This window comes from Homo sapiens, chromosome 6, assembly GCF_000001405.40.
Source record: "Homo sapiens chromosome 6, GRCh38.p14 Primary Assembly".
Lineage (NCBI taxonomy): Eukaryota > Metazoa > Chordata > Mammalia > Primates > Hominidae > Homo > Homo sapiens.
The window spans coordinates 104,857,235-104,876,551 of NC_000006.12; the positions used below are offsets into that span (position 1 = coordinate 104,857,235).

The window sequence follows — 19,317 nt, forward strand, 5'->3', positions numbered from 1 at the left end:
TACTTTAAAGAGCCAAGCTCAGAGAATTCAAAGACTCATCAGAGCTTAGAGACAAAGATAAATTAAATTCAAGGAACAAAATGAACATTATAATCAAAGAAAAGCAAATGCAAACGATGCCATTTTTGCCTATGTGGAAAAGTTTTACTTTTACTAATAATACTCTAGTTTCTGGGCACTCTCGGACTGCTGGTGGAACTTTCCAAGGAGTAAGTTGAGAAACTGATATGTTGAGCCTTAGAAATGTATTGTAGATATTCTTCTTGTAAGAATTAACCCTAAGGAAGTATTTAGAGGCAGACTATGTCTTAAATACAAAGCTGTTTCTCATAAAATCAGTTTAAAAACAGTATTTAGATTCAACATTTGTTACATGCATCCTATGAAATTCTGAAGTCATTAAGCCTATTGAAGAATACAAAAAAAAAAAAACATTTGGGGCGGGGCACGGTGGCTCACGCCTGTAATCCCCCAGCACTTTGGGAGGCCGAGGCGGGCAGATCACGAGGTCAGGCGATCGAGACCATCCTAGCTAACACGGTGAAACCCCGTCTCTACTAAAAATACAAAAAATTAGCCGGGCCTGGTGGCAGGGGCCTGTAGTCCCAACTACTGGGAAGGCTGAGGCAGGAGAATAGCGTGAACCCCGGAGGCAGAGCTTGCAGTGAGTCGAGATGGCGCCACTGCACTCCAGCCTGGGCGACAGAGTGAGACTCCGTCTCAAAAAAAAAAAAAAAAAAGGATGTTTTCTAAACACAAAATAAAAGACTATATGCAACATGATTTTAACTTGTTAGGGAGGGAAAAAGAAATAACAATGGTAACACTGTTTATAACTGGATGGTGAAATGACATATTTTTTTCTATTTTTCTTTATTTTCCAAATTTTCTACAATGAAACTATATTACTTTTAAAACCAAGTAACATTATCAAAGTCTTCTAAATCACATTTATGTAAAAAATATCGGGATTCAAACTAGACAATATAAATTATACATGTAGTCTTCATAAAGCTATACCAATAATTCGACTACGAAAAATAAGTAAGAGTAGCACTTAAGAAATGGATTCAAAGGTGGAAGTTGGAAAGAAAATATAGAAAAAGTTGAAGCTAGAATCTAGTTACCAAAATCTGAATTCTAAATAGAGACTAGAGACCATTTTTTCAAGAAGATTATCCCCAGGCCAGGCGCGGTGGCTCACATCTGTAATCCCAACACTTTGGGGGGAGCAGGGTGCGGATCACTTGAGCCCAGGAGTTCAAGACCAGCCTGGGGAACATAGTGAGACCTCATCTCTATAAAAGAAAGGAAAGAAAATTATCGCCAAAGTACCCAATCCCACATTTCTTTCATGACCGTCTGCCAAGGTCTCCTTCCCTATCCTACAAACCACCCAGCAGCAATTCAAAGAGAGTTTTGAAAAAGTAAGATAAACTACTACAATTAAGAAAAAAGCTATTCACCAGCTACAACCTCCTCCCAACCCTTCTCTCACTTGGGCATAAAGAGCCAAAAGCTTCTTAGAAGCAGCACTGCTGTCTCCCATCACCACTAAAATGTCTGAATTCCTGACGCTGCAAACAAAACTGCTTATTTTCTCTCCTTGTTATTAGCAGAGTTTTACCTGTCCTGAGGGAACCCTGGCACGCTGAACTAAAAGTCCTGATCCTCAGGGACCATGCCTTATTCCTCTTTGCAGATGCGTCCTAGTTACCAGCTAGCCCACTCAATACTAGTCTGATGAATAAATGAAGAATGAAGGCAGGCATGCATATTAAAGAAAAATATATTGTGTTTACCCATACAGTACTTTAAGAGTACCTGTTTGATGTTTGACAACCCTTTGTTTGCCTGTTATCAAAACAAGGCAGTGCCCCACATTTTAAAAAATAACAAAAATAAAAGCCCGCCTGGCCCCCCGATGCAGCTTAAAGTAAACAGTATCTTTGGATCATCTCTATCCCCAGCTACTGTTAAATGACCCGCAATTATGATGTTTTCTGACTCCGGGTCTCGGGCCTCCGGCTGGTATTCCTGCCCCTTTGCCAAGACCCCTAATCGACAGACGTTGCGAGACCTTTGTCTCGCTCCTCCCAGCAGCGGAACCCCCACCAACCCAGTTTCCTCCCGAAAACTCCCACCTGCCGGGGTGGGAGCGTCGGGCCAGGGGAGTTCGGGGCCCGGGGCCGCCTCTCAGCTCTGGAAAGTAAAAGTGGGCGTTTTCTCAGCTTTCAGTTAGTTTTTCCACCCGACCTTGACGCGGCCGGAGCTCCTGCCCCACTGGCCGCCCCCAGCCCCGCGGCCAGCCTGGCCCCGCGACCCGGCTCACCCTCGGGCAACTCCACGGTGCGCGCGCGGCGCAGCGAGCGCGTCAGGCGGTTGAGTTGCTCCATCGCTCTCTCCATCCTCGGCGCGCCCTCCGCGATCCTCCGCGATCAGCCGCCCCACCGGCGGCCTCCGCGCCCAGAGCCCTACATCTCGCCTGGGCCCGTCCAGCAGGCGGAGACGCGGGCTTGCCCCGGCTAGAGCACTGAGCTGCGAGGGCTGCCTGGGGCCACGTCCTGCGTCCGGGGGCCGGGCTGCTGCCGGACCGACCACCTACAGTACACCCGCCGCCGCCTCTGCTCGCGCCTTTCCTGCAGCCCCCGCCGCCGCGTCCCTCCCGGGCTCGCGTGGCCTTCTGGGAACTGTAGTTTCCAGCTGGCAGAACGGAGCGCCCTGGGCGGAGTCACGTTGGGGGCGCCCAGGCCACGCCAACGCGGGCGCAGGGCTGAGTATGCGGGAAGCCACGCAGCGACTGGGCGTACTCCTAAGCTTCTGGAAAGGCATTCTCACGCCCTGCTCCTCCTACCCTCCTCCAAAGTTGTACAGGAGCAGTTTCCTCCAATTCTATAACTTTACTATAAAACAGATTAGAAATTGGCACAATTGTTCTTAAATCCGTCACCACCTTTCTAGTACTGTATTAGTGCCTTTGTTTCAGGTACCCTACATGAACTGTTTTAAGTATGGTATTTTCATATGTCAAACTTAAAGAGTAATAAAATCAAACAAATCCAAAAGCATATTGTGCTTTTGTCTTCATTGTAAATAACTTGACAATAGCTTAATTAGTTGTTTTTCCTGCCGGGCGGCTTTATGAGGGCAGGGACATTTAATCTTGAACTGTGTTGTATCCCTGTACTTAACAAGGCACCTAGCACAAAGTTAAAGCTCTGGGGAAGATATGAATGATGACAACCTGAAAAAATTTTTTCATTTATTTGGTACAATGCTAAAGTGTCTATGTGATGACACAGCCTAGTGGGAAATCCAAAGGATTTGACTTTGTAAGTTACAAAAAATTTGGATACCTACATTGTGGAAGAAATGAACTCAGTGGCGAAAAATCATATTCATAAGCTCTGCACAGAAGTTGAACACTTGAAACAACAGAAGTTGGAACTTCAAAAAATTAACCCAATCAAAGGGGTAAATGTGAGCCTGGCTAACACCAATATATCTTGGATATATTACCAGTGCCAAGATGATGCTGGAGTGAGGGAGAAACAAAAGGCTTGTCTTTTTCAGCTTCTCTTCCTCAAAGAGACAAAGCTGTTCCTGAAATGAATGGGCACATGTACGTTGATGATGTATGTTGGCTGGCCAAGTGAAAGAGAGTCTCACCTGCCCATTCAGGATATGAAGGGGCAGATGGTGGTTGGCATGTGTTTTCCCTGCCAGTGCCGTCCTAAATCAGTTCCAGCTAGTGACCATTTGTGCCAGTGGTGCCACAGGCACGGGGAAGACCTCTGTAATCTTCACCTAATCAGATGATACCTAAACCAGTCTGGCAACAAGGTGGTAGAGGTCAAAGTTTCAAAAGAATACCAGAGGCTGGGCGCAGTGGCTCATGCCTGTAATCCCAGCACTTTGTGAGGCCAAGGCAGGCGGATCACTTGAGGTCAGGAGTTTGAGACCAGCCTGGCCAACATGGTAAAACCCTGTCTCTACTAAAAATATGTATATACAAAAATTAGCCGGGCGTGGTGGTGTGCCTCTGAAATCCCAGCTACTCGGGAGGCTTAGGCAGGAGAATCGCTTGAACCCGAGAGACAGAGGCTGCAGTGAGCTGAGATCCTGCCATTGCACTCCAGCCTGGGTGACAGAGCGAGACCCTGTCTCAAAAAAAAAGGAAAGGAAGAAAGAAATACCAGACGTTATGGACCAGTCTAGCCCAGGCTCAACCATTTGCAACCTGGCTTCAACTAAAAATGTTCCAGTCTTGCTTGGCCTCTTATGCTATTCAAAAAGTCAGGATTCCCACTGCTGTACAGAAGTTGGCCCCTCAGCTTCTCTCAGCTGCTGTTATCACCATTGCTCTCTAGGCTGTTGCTCCATATAAATTACCTCCAACGTCCTGTGAGGACCAAGCCTGGAGTTTGTGGGCAGGGGTAGGAGCCCCCAGCAGCCTCCATGGTGGGCATTGCATCTCATGCTGGTCACTGTTCACCACAGGAGCAGAAGATAATGGAACAGGTAATGCTGATGTGAATTGTCAGTTCCAAATTCTGCAATATGATGCCGTCTCCCAATAGCTCTGCTTCAAAATGTATAAAGCTGCAGTACTACTATCAGCTTATCACCTCCTGTCCAACAGAACTTTCTGCAATGATAGAAATATTCTATAATCTGCAATGTCCAAAATAGCATCCACTAACCAAATGGGGTTACTGGGTGCTTGAAATGTGGCTGGTGCAACTGAATTTTAAATTTGTATTAAAGTATAAGTAATGAAACTAATTAAGTTAAATAGCTGTATGTGCCTTGTGGTTACCGTATTAGACAGGGCAACTTATCACACCAAGAAGAAAGCTGCCCAGGAGAACACCAAAACAGCTAAACAGCTTCTTATAGATTATTATTAGCTAAAGAGTAGATTTTCTCACCTGTCACCAACACCAAAAACATCAAGTGGAAGTTTCAAAAGGGCACTTTGTATCATAAGTTCCATTAACAAAAGCGTAGAGTTTTTCACTAATGATAACCCAGGTTCTTCTGTGGCCCAGACAGTTTCAACTTTCTTTTTTGTATATCTGGTATTTTTTTCTTCCTGGAAATTGGTTTTATTGAAGATTCCCAAGCATTAAGGGAAAGAGAAGAGAAAAACAATCTGTTCAACAAAAGGCAGGAAATGGGTGGGAAGCAAAGAAAAATGGTCATAAAAACAAAACATAAAGTAGCAGTAGAAATAAATCTAAATATATCCATGGTCACAGAAAATATAAACAGAGTAAACTCAATGTTTACTCTAAAACATAGAGGTCTTAGATAGTGTGTTAAAGAAAAATAAAAATGGAGGCCACAGTTTAGATATACCCAAGTCCAACTGTGTATAACCACAAACCAAAACTCATCATCCTCATTTCCCCAAAACACCATCTGTAATAATAAACACAAAACGCAAGGTTTATATCCTTGTCAGCATGATTCAGTGAAACTAAGCCAATCAGCTATAGACAAATCAGCTTAAATAGTTTCCCTAAAAAAATTAATGTATAACAGACAATCATGAAAAAAGGCCAAAGTACTTCATCTTTACGCTTTATAAACTGTACGGGAAATGCAGTAAGGCAAGCTTCTCAACACTGACTCAAAATATCCTGGATCGCAATTTGTACTTGATCTGATTTATTTCTTACATCTGAAAAGATCAAATAAAACAGCTATTTGCTGTTTCTAAGGGACCACCATTTCCAAAAGGAAATGGAAAAAAGGGATACCATAGAAAATATTAGCCAAATAAATGTGATATAAAAATATATCAGGGTTCTCTAGAGAAACAGAACCAGTAGAATGTGTGTATATATATGGAGAGAGAAAGAGATTTATTATCAGAAATTGACTCACGTGATTATGGAAGCTAGCAAATCCAAAATCTACAGTTTGGACCAGCGGTCTCAATACCCAAGAGACCTGATGATGCCATTCCAGTCAAAGGCCAGGGCAGCTAGTAAGACAGATGAAGTCTGGAGGCAGTCTGCTGAAAAATTCCCTCTTGCTGTTTCTTCTATTCAGGCCTTCAGCTGATTGGATGAAGCCCACCCATATTATGGAGAGCAATCTGCTTTAACCAATTTAAATGTTCATCTCTTCCAAAAACACCCTCCAAGTTGGCACAGAAAATTAACTATCATGAACAATATTAATATCAGCAAAATAAATTTTAAAGGAAAAAACATTATTAGAGTCAAAGAGAGTTACCAGAAAGTTTATACTAGTCCTGAACCTACACCTAAAGACATAGACTAAAAATAAAGCTACACTTGACAGAATTACAAGTATAAGTTCCACACCATGGTGCTAGATTTTTCACACCCTTCGCTCTGAAACGAATAAAGCTAGCAGAAAAAGACAGTTAAAGATACAGAAGATTAAAAAACTTCAACTACAAGTCTCATTAAAGGGCACGTGTGAACATTCACTTCACTACTAATGAAGAGGGAATACACATCCTTTTAAAGCACATATATTACAGTTACAAAAATACAACGCATCCGAGTGCCCTTCTTCAGAGCAGTGTCACTGAGGTGGCAACTAGGAAGACCATGGCCAAAGCCAGGGTAGGGTAGGTTGAAAATCCCAAGAAATGGAGTGGACAGAGGAAGCTATCAAAGGAAAAACAAAGCAGACTGTAGGTCTGGAAGTAGAGGCAGGAAATGCAGGGGACACATAAGCCAGTAGAAGGGACTTTGGAGTTAGCAATGAGAGGCAGCCACGGGTCTCACTAAACTACACTTTCATCCAGTACCCATGCTACAGAATTTCTTAATCAAAGTGAAGGATCCTACATTTGTCCTGCTGGATTTCATCTTGATTAGTTTTTGTTGTTGTTGTTGTTATTGTTGTCGTTTTGAGATAGGGTCTTGCTCTGTTGCCCAGGCTGGAGTGCAGTGGTATGATCTCCACTCACTGCAACCCCTACTGCAACCTCCGCCTCCTGGGTTCAAGCAATTCTTGTGCCTCAGCCTCCGAGTAGCTGGGACTACAGGTTAGCGCCAGCATACCCGGCTATTTTTTGTATTTTTAGTAGAGGCGGGGTTTCACCATGTTGGCCAGGCTGGTCTCAAACTCCTGGCCTCTGGTGATCCACCCACCTCAGCCTCCCAAAGTGCTGGGATTACAGGCATGAGCCACCGCACCCAGCCTGAGGTCATTAGTATAACCTGAAAAGATATTGCTGGGTCCTGCATCTATTAATCAGTTGTCTGGTATCTTCTGTGCTGTGTATCATGTGCAGACTTGACAAGCTCCCTCTCTATATAGGGATTGAAGTCACAGATTAAAATGCTGAAACAAAAGAAAGCAAAAAAAAAAAAAAAAAACCTCATTGAAATTACAACCTAAAACTTTCCCAAATTATCTTTGATTCATTAATGGGTTCTTTAGGGGAGAATATGTCATCGCCTATTAACACATCTAACTGTCTGTGTACTGAAAGCCATTAGAAATGTTGTGTACAGGCTGATTGCGGTGACTCACACCTGTAATCCCAACACTTCGGGAGGCCAAGGCGGGTGGATCGCAAAGTCAGGAGATGGAGACCAGCCTGACCAACATGGTGAAACCCTGTCTCTACCAAAAATTAGCCAGGTGTGGTGGCACGTGCCTGTAAACCCAGCTACTCAGGAGCCTGGGGCAGGAGAATTGCTTGAACCCGGAAGGCAGAGGTTGCAGTGAGCTGAGATCGTGCCCCTGCACTCCAGCCTGGGCAAAGACCCAGACACTCCCTCTCAAAAAAAAAAAAAGAATTGTTGTGTACCTTTTGATTCATTCAATTCACCTCTGGGCATATAGTCCAAAGAAACAACCTGAAATAGAAACAAAGGTGTATAGATAAATATAATATTTATTTATACAGAAGTATTACTAAATTCCTAGTGAACAAAAAAACATACTGCCTGTAGGAGGGGAATAGAGATATTTCTTAAATAATGTTTTTCAAATAATTATGCTCACGGATATGTAATTGTAAGTAGAGATAAGTGTTCTGAAAGGCTGGAAAAAACATTCTGTGAAAGACTAGGAACATCTAGAGAGGATTTCCAAAAAAACAGACACTTAACCTAAGAATCAAAAGATAAATAGAAGGTATCTAGGCAAAGGAGCTAGGGTGATAAAGAATATTCTTGGTGGGGCGCAGTAGCTCACATCTGTAACCCCAGCACTTTGGGAGGCTGAGGCAAGAGGATCGTTTGAGTCCGGGAGTTTAATACCAGCCTGAGCAACATGGCGAGACCTTGTCTTGACAAAAAAATTTAAAAATCAGCCAGACATGATAGCGTGCCTCTGTGGTCCCAGCTACTCCAGAGGCTGAGGCAGGAGGATCACTCAAGCCTAGGAGAATGAGGTTGCAGTGAGCCATGTTTGTGCCACTGCACTCCAGCCTGGGTGACAGAGTGAGACCCTGCTTGAAAAAAAAAAAAAGAGGCCGGGTGTGGTGGCTCACACCTATAATCCCAGCACGTTGGGAGCCTGAGGCAGGTGGATCACTTGAGATCAATAGTTCAAGACCAGCCTAGCTAACACGGTGAAATCCTGTCTCTACTAAAAATACAAAAATTAGCCGGACATGGTTGCATGTGCCTGTAATCCCAGCTACTCAGGAGGCTGGGGCAGGAGAATCGCTTGAACCTGGGAGGCGGAAGTTGGAGTGAGCTAAGATTGTGCCACTGCACTCCAGCCTGGGTGACAAAGCGAGACTCCATCTCAAAAAAAAAAAAAAAGTGCTCAATGGAGAGAATGGAATTTGCAAAGATCCTATGGTGCATGAAATGTTCAAGGAATCTAAAGAAAGTTGTATTTTGGTTATGTCATTGAAAGTCAAGGAGCAAAAGGGAGTACACTACGAAATGGTGAGAGAGGAAGCAGTCCATGTGGGGCTTTGCTAGCCATGATAGGGCCTTTAGCATAAGAGCAGTGGAAAGGCATTAAAGGATCTTAAGCAAGTGGGAATAATATGATCAGATTTGTGTTTGGAAGGAAAACGTTTACTCCACCTGAAGGATGAAGAATGAATTAGATTGACAGTTGGATAGATAAGCAATAAATAGTTTGTGGGCTACTTACTATTTAGTCCAAAAGATGATTGTCTTTTGGACAGCATAGTGGTTATGTCAGTAGAGTAAAATGTTTTCAAAATAACATTGAGAAATATTTTTGTAATAAAATCAATAACACCTAATGATGGACTGCGTATGAGAAATGGGAAACAGAAAATGGATTATGCAATTTTATGTATGATGGCACCATTCCTGGGAAAAGAGAACACTGAATAGAACCAGGTATGGAAAAGGAGATTGTGTCATGGAAAGTTTGAGGTGCCTTTGAGGTACTGAAGTGGAGATATCAAATAGATGACTCGACATACATGGCTATTCTGGGCTTACAATATACATTTGGAGATATAACTCTACAGATAGTGTTTGGAAACTAAGGAGATAATATAAAGTAGAAAAGAAGCATCAACTTGTTCAAGACTAATCCTTGCAGGTTGACCTCCCAAAGGGAGTTCGCTTCCTGAAGGGCTCAATTGTTCAGACAGTCTGTCCTGGTAAAATATTGATAGTTGAACCAGGCTGTGGAATAAAAAGAGCAACAGAAAGGTAGCTGGAGTGGGATTGGGGTTGAGAGAAAGTTTTGGGGTTTTTTTGTTTTGTTTTTTCAAGTTACCAGGTAATTGAGGATTTTTTTTTTTAGATGGAATTTCGCTCTTGTCACCCAGGCTGGAGTGCAATGGTGCAATCTTGGCTCACTGCAATCTCCGCCTCCTGGGTTCAAGTGATTCTCCTGTCACAGCCTCCTGAGCATCTGGGATTACAAGTGTGTGCCACCATGCCCAGCTAATTTTGGTATTTTTAGTAGAGACAAGGTTTCACCATGTTGGCCAGAGTCATCTCCAACTCCTGACCTCAGGTGATCTGCCCGCCTTGGACTCCCAAAGTGCTGGGATTACAGGCGTGAGCCACCTCGCCCAGCCAAGGATATTTTAATTAATTGAATATTTCAGAGAAGGAGAAATTATTGATAGTGTAAGATCTAAAATACAGAAAGCTCTCTAAATAAGTAAGAAAGACATAAAAGTTTAACAATAAGAAAATTGCTCAATAAGTTATGGTATGTTTATATATGCAATATTTTGCAGCCACTAAAAATGGTGTATATGATAAAAGGATAGCACTGATTACAAGAGAAGTGGAGAGGGCAGCTATGGGGACGGAAAACGAAGTAACAAGGCCCCGCATGAGAGGGAGACTTCTTACTGTATATCTTTTTAGATCCTTCTAATTTTTACCTCTGTAAATTCATTGCTTATTCAAATATGTAAAAATAAATAAAATAATTTTAAATAATCAGAAACAGTAATATAAATGAAAAGGATCAATAGAGTGGGAATTGCAGTTGCCTCCAAAACATTGTCTCCCTATTTTTGGTGACAGTCCCTATTTTCATTTTTTTAGGTAGATGGTTTTAAATTTTATTAAGGAATTTTCTACATAAAAGTAAACAAGGCCGGGTGCGGTGGCTCACGCTGTAATCCCAGCACTTTGGGAGGCTGAGGCGGGTGGATCACAAGGTCAGGAGATCGAGACCATCCTGGCTAACACAGTGAAACCCCATCTCTACTAAAAACACAAAAAATTAGCTGGGTGTGGTGGCAGGCGCCTGTAGTCCCAGCTACTCGAGAGGCTCAGGCAGGAGAATGGCGTGAACCTGGGAGGCGGAGCTTGCAGTGAACCAAGATCACGCCATGGCACTCCAGCCTGGGCAACAGAGTGAGACTCTGTCTCAAAAAAAAAAAAAAAGTAAACAAAATAGCAAAAATGAAATCTGATATGCTCATCACCCAACCAATCTTATTTTGCCCATATCCCAATACTCTCACACTGGGTTATTTTAATGTAATTCCCAAACATCATAGCATTTCATTTGTTACCATTTCTTATGTATCTCTGTAAGATGAGTCCAAAAAATAACTACAATACTATTACTACACATAAAATATTTAAAAAGATGTAATGATATTGTCAGATATCCAGAGAATGTTCAAATTTTCCCAATTGTCTTAGACATTTTTAATAACTGGTTTATTTGAATCAGAATCCAAATAACACCCACATATCACATTTTGTTGTTATGATTGCAAAGCCTCAAGCCTCTTTTATTCTATAAAATAGCTCTCCTCTTCCCTAACCCTCTTTACGTATATTTATAAGTCCTAGTTTCATTCAGGTGTCTACACTTCCGCGCTGCCCATATGCTGACTCTAACTCTGACTCTAGGGTCATGTGGCTAAGGTGTAATCTCATCCCAGGCCACTATTGATAGTAGATAGTTCAGAATTCAGATCAATGAGAAATGGAGAGAAGTTGCTGAGAACTTTCTGGAAAAAAAGCTTTCTTACTCTTCTGAGGACAAGAACCTCTCTCTCTCTCTCTCTCTCCATCCCTCTCCTGTCTCTCTCTCTCTGTGCATTATATTTATGGTAAAATATTGATTGCTTTCTTTCTAAAACCAGGAATAAGGCAACAATATCTGTTTTCATTACTTCTATACAACATTGTACTGGAAGTCCTACTGAGTGAAAATGATTCTGGAATAGTTGTATATTCATTTGGGAGAAGAAAACACCTCAATTCCTACATCACATCACACACAAATTAATTCAAAAAGGATCATAAATCTGAACATAAGAGCTAACTATAAAGCTTCTAGAATAAAGCATAGGATACTATTTTCATGACCTGGGAGAAGTCAAAGACTTCTTACAGGACACAGAAAGTAAAAAAGCATAAAAGCAAAAACTTTATATTCGTCTTAAAAGCTTCTTCTCAGCAAAATATACCATTATGAAAATGAATAGGTAAATTCTCTCAAGGAGAAAATATTCAGAAAACACGTATCTCATAAAGAATTTGCGTACAAAGGATTCCTATCACTCAAAAACGACCTAGTAAATTGAAGATGTTCATGCTACTCAGTAAATACAGTCTCTGAACAGAAAGACATCCGAATACCTCTCATGACACGCAAAGTTAATAAGTGCATATTTTATCAATGCAAAAGTTTCTTCTCTGAGACCATGATGAAATAATATACAGGGATAGAATAGAAGATGTTCACCCTTGCAGAATTCACATATTGCTTAATATGTAGGAGAGATTTCATACTGGAGAAATCTCACTGCACTAAAATATTCTTTCGTTTTCTTGAGACCTGAGAAAACACACTACAAATACTGAAGACAAATAAATTAAAAAATCCTTATCTAACTCTATGTATTTAGAGCATGATAGATGTCAATCTTCTTCCCTGTATATCAACAATGGGAAGAAGTACATGCTAACTAACCACAGCTGTTCCTCATGGATATAAATTGCAAGCCACCAGAACTTTCTCAGGAGTAGATTATTGCAACCCTACATGCATCTTAGGTTAGGAGTTAAAGTGTATTAGTTCGCAGGAGAAATGTAAATTTTGGTATTTCCATGAATCAAAATTCATAAATTGTGATTGCCTAAAGTAGAAGCTTTTGGCTATGCCTAAATAAGTTTGATGTTTCAAATTTTCATATATCTATCGCAAGTTTCATGTTTTATGCTAATATTAAAAGCAGTGCTATGTTTTCCAAAGTGAGGCATTAGGATATCAATAGATAGACAACATACAAAATGCAACTCATACTGAGAAATTAAACATTTTAAACCATTAAAACATTTGTAGAAGTCTGTGACTTTCATAATAAATGAGACAAAATCAGTAATTAGTCCTATGAAAGTGTTTTCTGAATTTTGTAGTAAGTTCAATGACCTTAGTAATCACTTCAGGGAGCAGCGTGAAAGATCATGTTTCCTACATAAAAAGTAATAGTGTCAAGAAAAACAGTATGGGCCAGGCAAGGTGGCTCATGCCTGTAATCCCAGCACTTTGGGAGGCCATAGCAGGTGGATCACTTGAGGTCAGGAGTTTGAGACCAGCCTGGCCAACATGGTGAAACCCCGTCTCTGCTAAAAATACAAAAATTAGCCAGGTGTGGTGGCATGCACCTGTGATCCCAGCTCCTCAGGAGGCTGAGGCAGGAGAATCGCTTGAACCCAGGAGGCAGAGATTGCAGTGATCTGAGATTGTGCCATTGCACTCCAGCCTGGGGAACAGAGGGAGACTCAGTCTGAAAAAAAAAAAAAAAGAAAGAAAGAAAGAAAAATAGTATCATTTAGCTTGTGTATTTAAAATTATTTTAATTTGTATTGAGTTTATTTTTCATTTCAGTGAAATGCTGCCTTCTTTAAACATTCCGTTTTAATTAGATAAAGGGTGTCAGTGACTTCATTCCATCATCAGTAACTTAGTTTCAAATTCAATACATACATGTATGTTCAAAATGCAAGGTAGAAGTACACTGAAGAATAAAAACCTGCACATGCACCCCCAGAATAGACATTTTTTTCTTATGCTCAAGAAGTTCAACTTCCAAAAAGAGAGTTAAGACATGTACAAATCTGACAGTAATACACAGCAAACTGTGGAGAGTCCTTCAAGTTGTACCAAAAACCCTGAGGAGGTGAGAAAGAGAATCATCACTTCAGTGTAGTAAGGGAGTAGAATCAGGGAGATTTCATGCCTGAAAGACGTCATATTTACACATGGGGAATAGAAACAAGCAGGACAATCTGATTAACAACAAATAATAACAGCTGATACTTGTTGAGCATTAATAGCTGATTTAGCTGAGGCTCATGGGTAATTGGGGAATTAAGGCTAACATATGAGTCAGATTTCAGTTAGCCTTGAATGACATGCTTAGCAGCTTGAAGCCAGTTCTATAAGCAGTGAGGAGCAACATAATTAGGTGGCAGTGGGAAAGAGTGGCAACAGCTGGATGAGTTAAGAGGCTATTGAAATTATATAAGTGAGTGGATACAAGACACTGTATTAAGGTGAGGGTGAAAAAGAAAGATGTATGTGAGCATACTGTAGATGGGCAGGATGCAGAATCTGGAATCTAGATGACCAATGGGATAAATGGGTTAGAGTGATTTGGGATGACTCCAAAGTCAGTAACAGGAGTAGAGTAGTTCTTTTGAGGGAGAAAGATTAGTTCAAAAGTTGTTAAGGCCCTTTTTAACAGATTTTTATGGAGAAAAACAATTATTTTAACTTGAAGTCATCCATTTCTCATAAAGCTAGGTTATAGGCATTGAAATTAGTATTATGTATGTTTGGTTCTGTCTTTCCTCCACTTTGGTGCAGTAGACTTATTCATGAACACGTGTTACTGTGTATTTCAGTATTTCACTATTTATGTGAACATGTTATGTTTCTTTTTTTTTTTTTTTTTTTTTTTTTTTTTTAAGACAGAGTATTGCTCTGTTGCCCAGGCTGGAGTGCAGTGGCGCGATCTCGGCTCACTGCAAGCTCCGCCTCCCAGGTTCACGCCATTCTCCTGCCTAAGCCTCCCGAGTAGCTGGAACTGCAAGTGCCCACCACCACGCCCTGTCATTTTTTTGTATTTTTAGTAGAGACGTGGTTTCACTGTGTTAGCGAGGATGGTCTCGATCTCCTGACCTCGTGATTCGCCCGCCTCGGCCTCCCAAAGTGCTGGGATTACAGGCATGAGCCACCGCACCCAGCCAACATGCTATGTTTCTAACTCCAAATCATTAGGTAGCAGAATTATGAGGAGCCTTGTCAAGCCTGATCTGAAGCATGGGATGGTTCTATACCAGATTCATTTAACAAATGCACCTGTCATCTGAGTACTGGTTTTCCACATCTATTAGTATGGAATTAATTTACATAAAATCATCACTTTGAATTGCCTATGAAGAATTGATTTGTTCACTTTTTCTTCAAGACAAATAGTGCAGTGAAAAAGTAAAAGGTCTAACTGCCCAGGGTACAGTGGTTTAGGAGAGCGGGGACATGGACAGTCTAGTGCTGACCTTGACACCAAAAAACTGTGTTTCACTTATACTGTCTAGTTTTAAGTTTCCTCCTCTGCAAACTGAGATTTATTAAACAGTATTTCTTCAGCTTTAACTGACAGAAACGCAATTTCAGCTAGCTTATGTTAAATAAGAATTTATTAATACAGTAAGATGGCTCACGAATGCCAAGGGCAGGGGGCACCTTCAGAACTCTCTGGTCTCTGTCAGAGTTATCTTCCTATAGAACCACTTGAAGCATTTCATTTCCCACCTCAGAATCTCTGCAGCTGTCCCTTTTTCTCCAACATTTAAAAATCTAAACTCCTGGCCAGAACTTCCAACACTATGTTGAACAGGAGTGGTGAGAGAGGGCACCCCTGTCTTGTGCCAGTTTTCAAATGGAATGCTTGCAGTTTTTGCCCATTCAGTATGATATTGGCTGTGGGTCTGTCATAAATAGCTATTATTATTTTGAGATACGTCCCATCAATACCTAATTTATTGAGAGTTTTTAGCATGAAGAGCTGTTCAATTTTGTCAAAGGCCTTTTCTGCTTCTATTGAGATAATCATGAGGTTTTTGTCTTTGATTCTGTTTATATGCTGGATTACGTTTATTGATTTGCATATGTTGAACCAGCCTTGCATCCCAGGGATGAAGCCCACTTGATCATGGTGGATAAGCTTTTTGATGTGCTGCTGGATTCGGTTTGCCAGTACTTTATTGAGGATTTTTGCGTCGATGTTCATCAGGGATATTGGTCTAAAATTCTCTTTTTTGTTGTTGTGTCTCTGCCAGGCTTTGGTATCAGGAAGATACTGGCCTCATAAAATGAGTTAGGGAGGATTCTCTCTTTTTCTACTGACTGGAATAGTTTCAGAAGGAATGGTACCAGCTCCTCCTTGTACCTCTGGTAGAATTCGGCTGTGAATCCTTCTGGTCCTGGACTTTTTTTTGGTTGGCAGGCTATTAATTATTGCCTCAATTTCAGAGTCTGTTATTGGTCTATTCAGGGATTCAACTTCTTGCTGGTTTAGTCTTGGGAGGGTGTATGTGTCCAGGAAGTTCTGGCCAGGGCAATCAGGCAGGAGAAAGAAATAAAGGGTATTCAATTAGGAAAAGAGGAAGTCAAATTGTCCCTGTTTGCAGATGACATGATTGTATATTTAGAAAACCCCATCATCTTAGCCCAAAATCTCCTTAAGCTGATAAGCAACTTCAGCAAAGTCTCAGGATGCAAAATCAATGTGCAAAAATCACAAGCATTTTTATACAGCAATAACAGACAAACAGAGAGCCAAATCATGAGTGAACTCCCATTCACAATTGCTTCAAAGAGAATAAAATACCTAGGAATCTCCTTAAAGGACCTCTTCAAGAACTACAAACCACTGCTCAACGAAATAAAAGTGGACACAAACAAATGCAAGAACATTCCATGCTCATGGATAGGAAGAATCAATATTGTGAAAATGGCCATACTGCTCAAGGTAATTTATAGATTCAATGCCATCCCCATCAAGCTACCAATGACTTTCTTCACATAATTGGAAAAAATTACTTTAAAGTTCATATGGAACCAAAAAAGAGCCCACATTGCCAAGACAATCCTAAGCAAAAAGAACAAAGCTGGAGGCATCACGCTACCAGACTTCAAACTATACTACAAGGCTACAGTAACCAAAACAGCATGGTACTGGGACCAAAACAGAGATAGAGACGAATGGAACAGAACAGAGCCCTCAGAAATAATACCACACATCTACAACCCACTGATCTTTGACGAACCTGACAAAAACAAGAAATGGGGAAAGGATTCCCTATTTAATAAATGGTGCTGGGAAAACTGGCTAGCCATATGTAGAAAGCTGAAACTGGATCCCTTCCTTACACCTTATACAAAAATAAATTCAAGGTGGATTAAAGAGTTAAATGTTAGACCTAAAACCATGAAAACCCTAGAAGAAAACCTAGGCAATACCATTCAGGACATAGGCATGGGCAAGGACTTCATGTCTAAAACACCAAAAGCAATGGCAACAAAAGCCAAAATTGACAAATGGGATCTAATTAAACTACAGAGCTTTTGCACAGCAAAAGAAACTACCATCAGAGTGAACAGGCAACCTACAACATGGGAGAAAATTTTTGCAATCTACTCATCTGACAAAGGGCTAATATCCAGAATCTACAATGAACTCAAACAAATTTACAAGAAAAAAACAACCCCATCAAAAAGTGGGCGAAGGATATGAACGGATACTTCTCAAAAGAAGACATTTATGCAACCAACAGACACATGAAAAAATGCTCATCATCACTGGCCATCAGAGAAATGCAAATCAAAACCACAATGAGATACCATCTCACACCAGTTAGAATGGCAATCATTAAAAAGTCAGGAAACAACAGGTGCTGGAGAGGATGTGGAGAAATAGGAACACTTTTACACTGTTGGTGGGACTGTAAACTAGTTCAACCATTGTGGAAGATAGTGTGGTGATTCCTCAAGGATCTAAAACTAGAAATACCATTTGACCCAGCCATCCCATTACTGGGTATATACCCAAAAGATTATAAATCATGCTGCTATAAAGACACATGCACACGTATGTTTATTGCGGCACTATTCACAATAGCAAAGACTTGGAACCAACCCAAATGTCCATCAATGATAGACTGGATTAAGAAAATGTGGCACATATACACCATGGAATACACTATGCAGCCATAAAAAAGGATGAGTTCATGTACTTTGTAGGGACATGGATACAGCTGGAAACCATCATTCTCAGCAAACTATCCCAAGAACAAAAAACCAAGCACCGCATGTTCTCACTCATAGGTGGGAACTGAACAATGAGAACACTTGGACACAGGAAGGGGTACATCACACACCGGGGCCTGTCGTGGGGTGGAGGAAGCGGAGAGGGATAACATTAGGAGATACACCTAATGTAAATGATGAGTTAATGGGTGCAGCACACCAACATGGCACATGTATACATATGTAACAAACCTGCACGTTGTGCACATGTACCCTAGAACTTAAAGTATAATAATAAAAGAAGAAAAATAAATAAATAAATAAGTAAAATAAAAATCTAAACTCCTAAGAATGCTATTCAAAGTCTGGCACTCTCTGTTTTCAATAAACCTTTTCAGTCTTATAATAATTGCCAGTTAATTGAGCCCTTTTGGTTTCAGAGGAAAACAACCTGAGTTAGAATTCCTGGTTCTGCCCCTACTAACCTTGTACTTTGGAAAAACTTCCTTAACCCCGGGAAGCTTCCATTTTTGTCATTTGCAAAATGAGAATAATAACAGTATCTGTCTTATTTCCCTTATTTCATTTTGCATTTCATGGTGACAAAAACAGTCTCGCATTGTAGATCTTTTCTTTTTCTTTTTCTTTCTTTCTTTCTTTTTTTTTTTTTTTTTGAGACGGAGTCTTGCTCTGTTGCCCAGGCTGGAGTGCAGTAGCACGATCTCAGCTCACTGCAACCTCTGCCTCCTGGGTTCAAGTGATTCTTCTGCCTCAGCCTCCCAAGTGGCTGGAATTACAGGCACGCACCACGACGTCCAGCTAATTTTTGTATTTTTAGTAGAGACAGGGTTTCACCATGTTAGCCAGGATGGTCTCCATCTCTTGACCTCATGATCTGCCTGCCTCAGCCTCCCAAAGTGCTGGAATTACCGGCATGTGCAGATCTTTTCTTCATTACCCATTCTTGAACCAGAGTGCAAGATCAAACTATTTAAATAAGCTCCTCTCTTAGGAAACATATGCCTGAGAGATGCAGTTCCTCAAAAGCTGGGAGCCTAGACTTGTAAAATAATTTGGCTAATGCAGAGGATATGCACTTATTTATTCAATTCTAAAAGTCTGTGTCTAGAAAATAACATCCATATTTGGCACATTCTTCTTTTTTTTTTTTTTTTAAGACAGGGTCTCACTCTATCACCCAGGCTGGAGTGCAGTGGCAGTCGTAGCTCACTGTAACCTTGAAGTGCTGGGCTCAAGCGATCCTCCTGCCTCAGTCTCTCAAGCAACTAGGGTTACTGACATGGGCTGTCACACCCAGGTAGTTTTTTGTTGTTGTTGTTGTTGTTGATTTTGTAGAGACAAGGGTCTCAATGTGCTGTGAAGGCTGGTCTCAAAATCCTGGCCTCAAGTGATCCTCCCACCTTGGCCTCCCAAAGTGCTGGGATCACAGGCATAAGCCATTGCACCCAGTCTTGGCATATTTGGCACATCCTTGACACCTATCATGTTGAAATCATCTGCTAATTTTTTTGCTTCTTTTATTTATCCTTCCAGCCTTGCATTTATCCCCTGAATCCTTCA

At 41.1% G+C, this 19,317-nt stretch overlaps 1 protein-coding gene and 1 pseudogene across 18 annotated transcripts in view, besides 4 other annotated features; one reads left to right on the top strand and one right to left on the bottom strand.

The window, feature by feature from the left end:
• Nucleotides 1-2,685, bottom strand: part of HACE1 (HECT domain and ankyrin repeat containing E3 ubiquitin protein ligase 1) — a 131,826-nt gene extending 129,141 nt beyond the window's left edge. For 15 of the 18 annotated variants that reach the window (NR_146787.2, NR_146789.2, NR_146790.2 and 12 more), the window contains exon 1: nt 2,333-2,685. Coding sequence is in view for 3 of the 18 variants with exons in the window: in NM_001350555.2 (NP_001337484.1) it covers nt 2,333-2,408 (76 nt within the window). In the remaining 15 variants the exon portion in view is untranslated. Of the gene's footprint in view, nt 1-2,144; nt 2,313-2,332 lie in introns of those variants that run through there. The other 3 variants (NM_001321084.2, NM_001321083.2, NM_001350554.2) reach the window with 2 other exon arrangements.
• Nucleotides 2,114-2,743: a silencer, noted in NCBI's record as "silent region_17425". NCBI's record gives its function as "represses an Ori minimal core promoter by ATAC-STARR-seq in GM12878 lymphoblastoid cells {active_cell/tissue: GM12878}" and the evidence as "EXISTENCE:reporter gene assay evidence [ECO:0000049][PMID:35858748]".
• Nucleotides 2,114-2,865: a biological region, named in NCBI's record as "H3K27ac hESC enhancer GRCh37_chr6:105307475-105307974".
• Nucleotides 2,366-2,865: an enhancer, noted in NCBI's record as "H3K27ac hESC enhancer chr6:105307475-105307974 (GRCh37/hg19 assembly coordinates)". NCBI's record gives its function as "activates a minimal SCP1, AML or CMV promoter by ChIP-STARR-seq in primed H9 embryonic stem cells {active_cell/tissue: H9 hESC(primed)}" and the evidence as "EXISTENCE:reporter gene assay evidence [ECO:0000049][PMID:30033119]".
• Nucleotides 2,480-2,774: an enhancer, noted in NCBI's record as "tiled region #9880; HepG2 Activating DNase matched - State 1:Tss, and K562 Activating non-DNase unmatched - State 1:Tss". NCBI's record gives its function as "activates a minimal TATA promoter and a strong SV40 promoter by Sharpr-MPRA in HepG2 and K562 cells {active_cell/tissue: HepG2 | K562}" and the evidence as "EXISTENCE:reporter gene assay evidence [ECO:0000049][PMID:27701403]".
• LOC100422315 (poly(A) binding protein cytoplasmic 4 pseudogene) lies at nt 3,221-4,110 on the top strand (annotated as a pseudogene).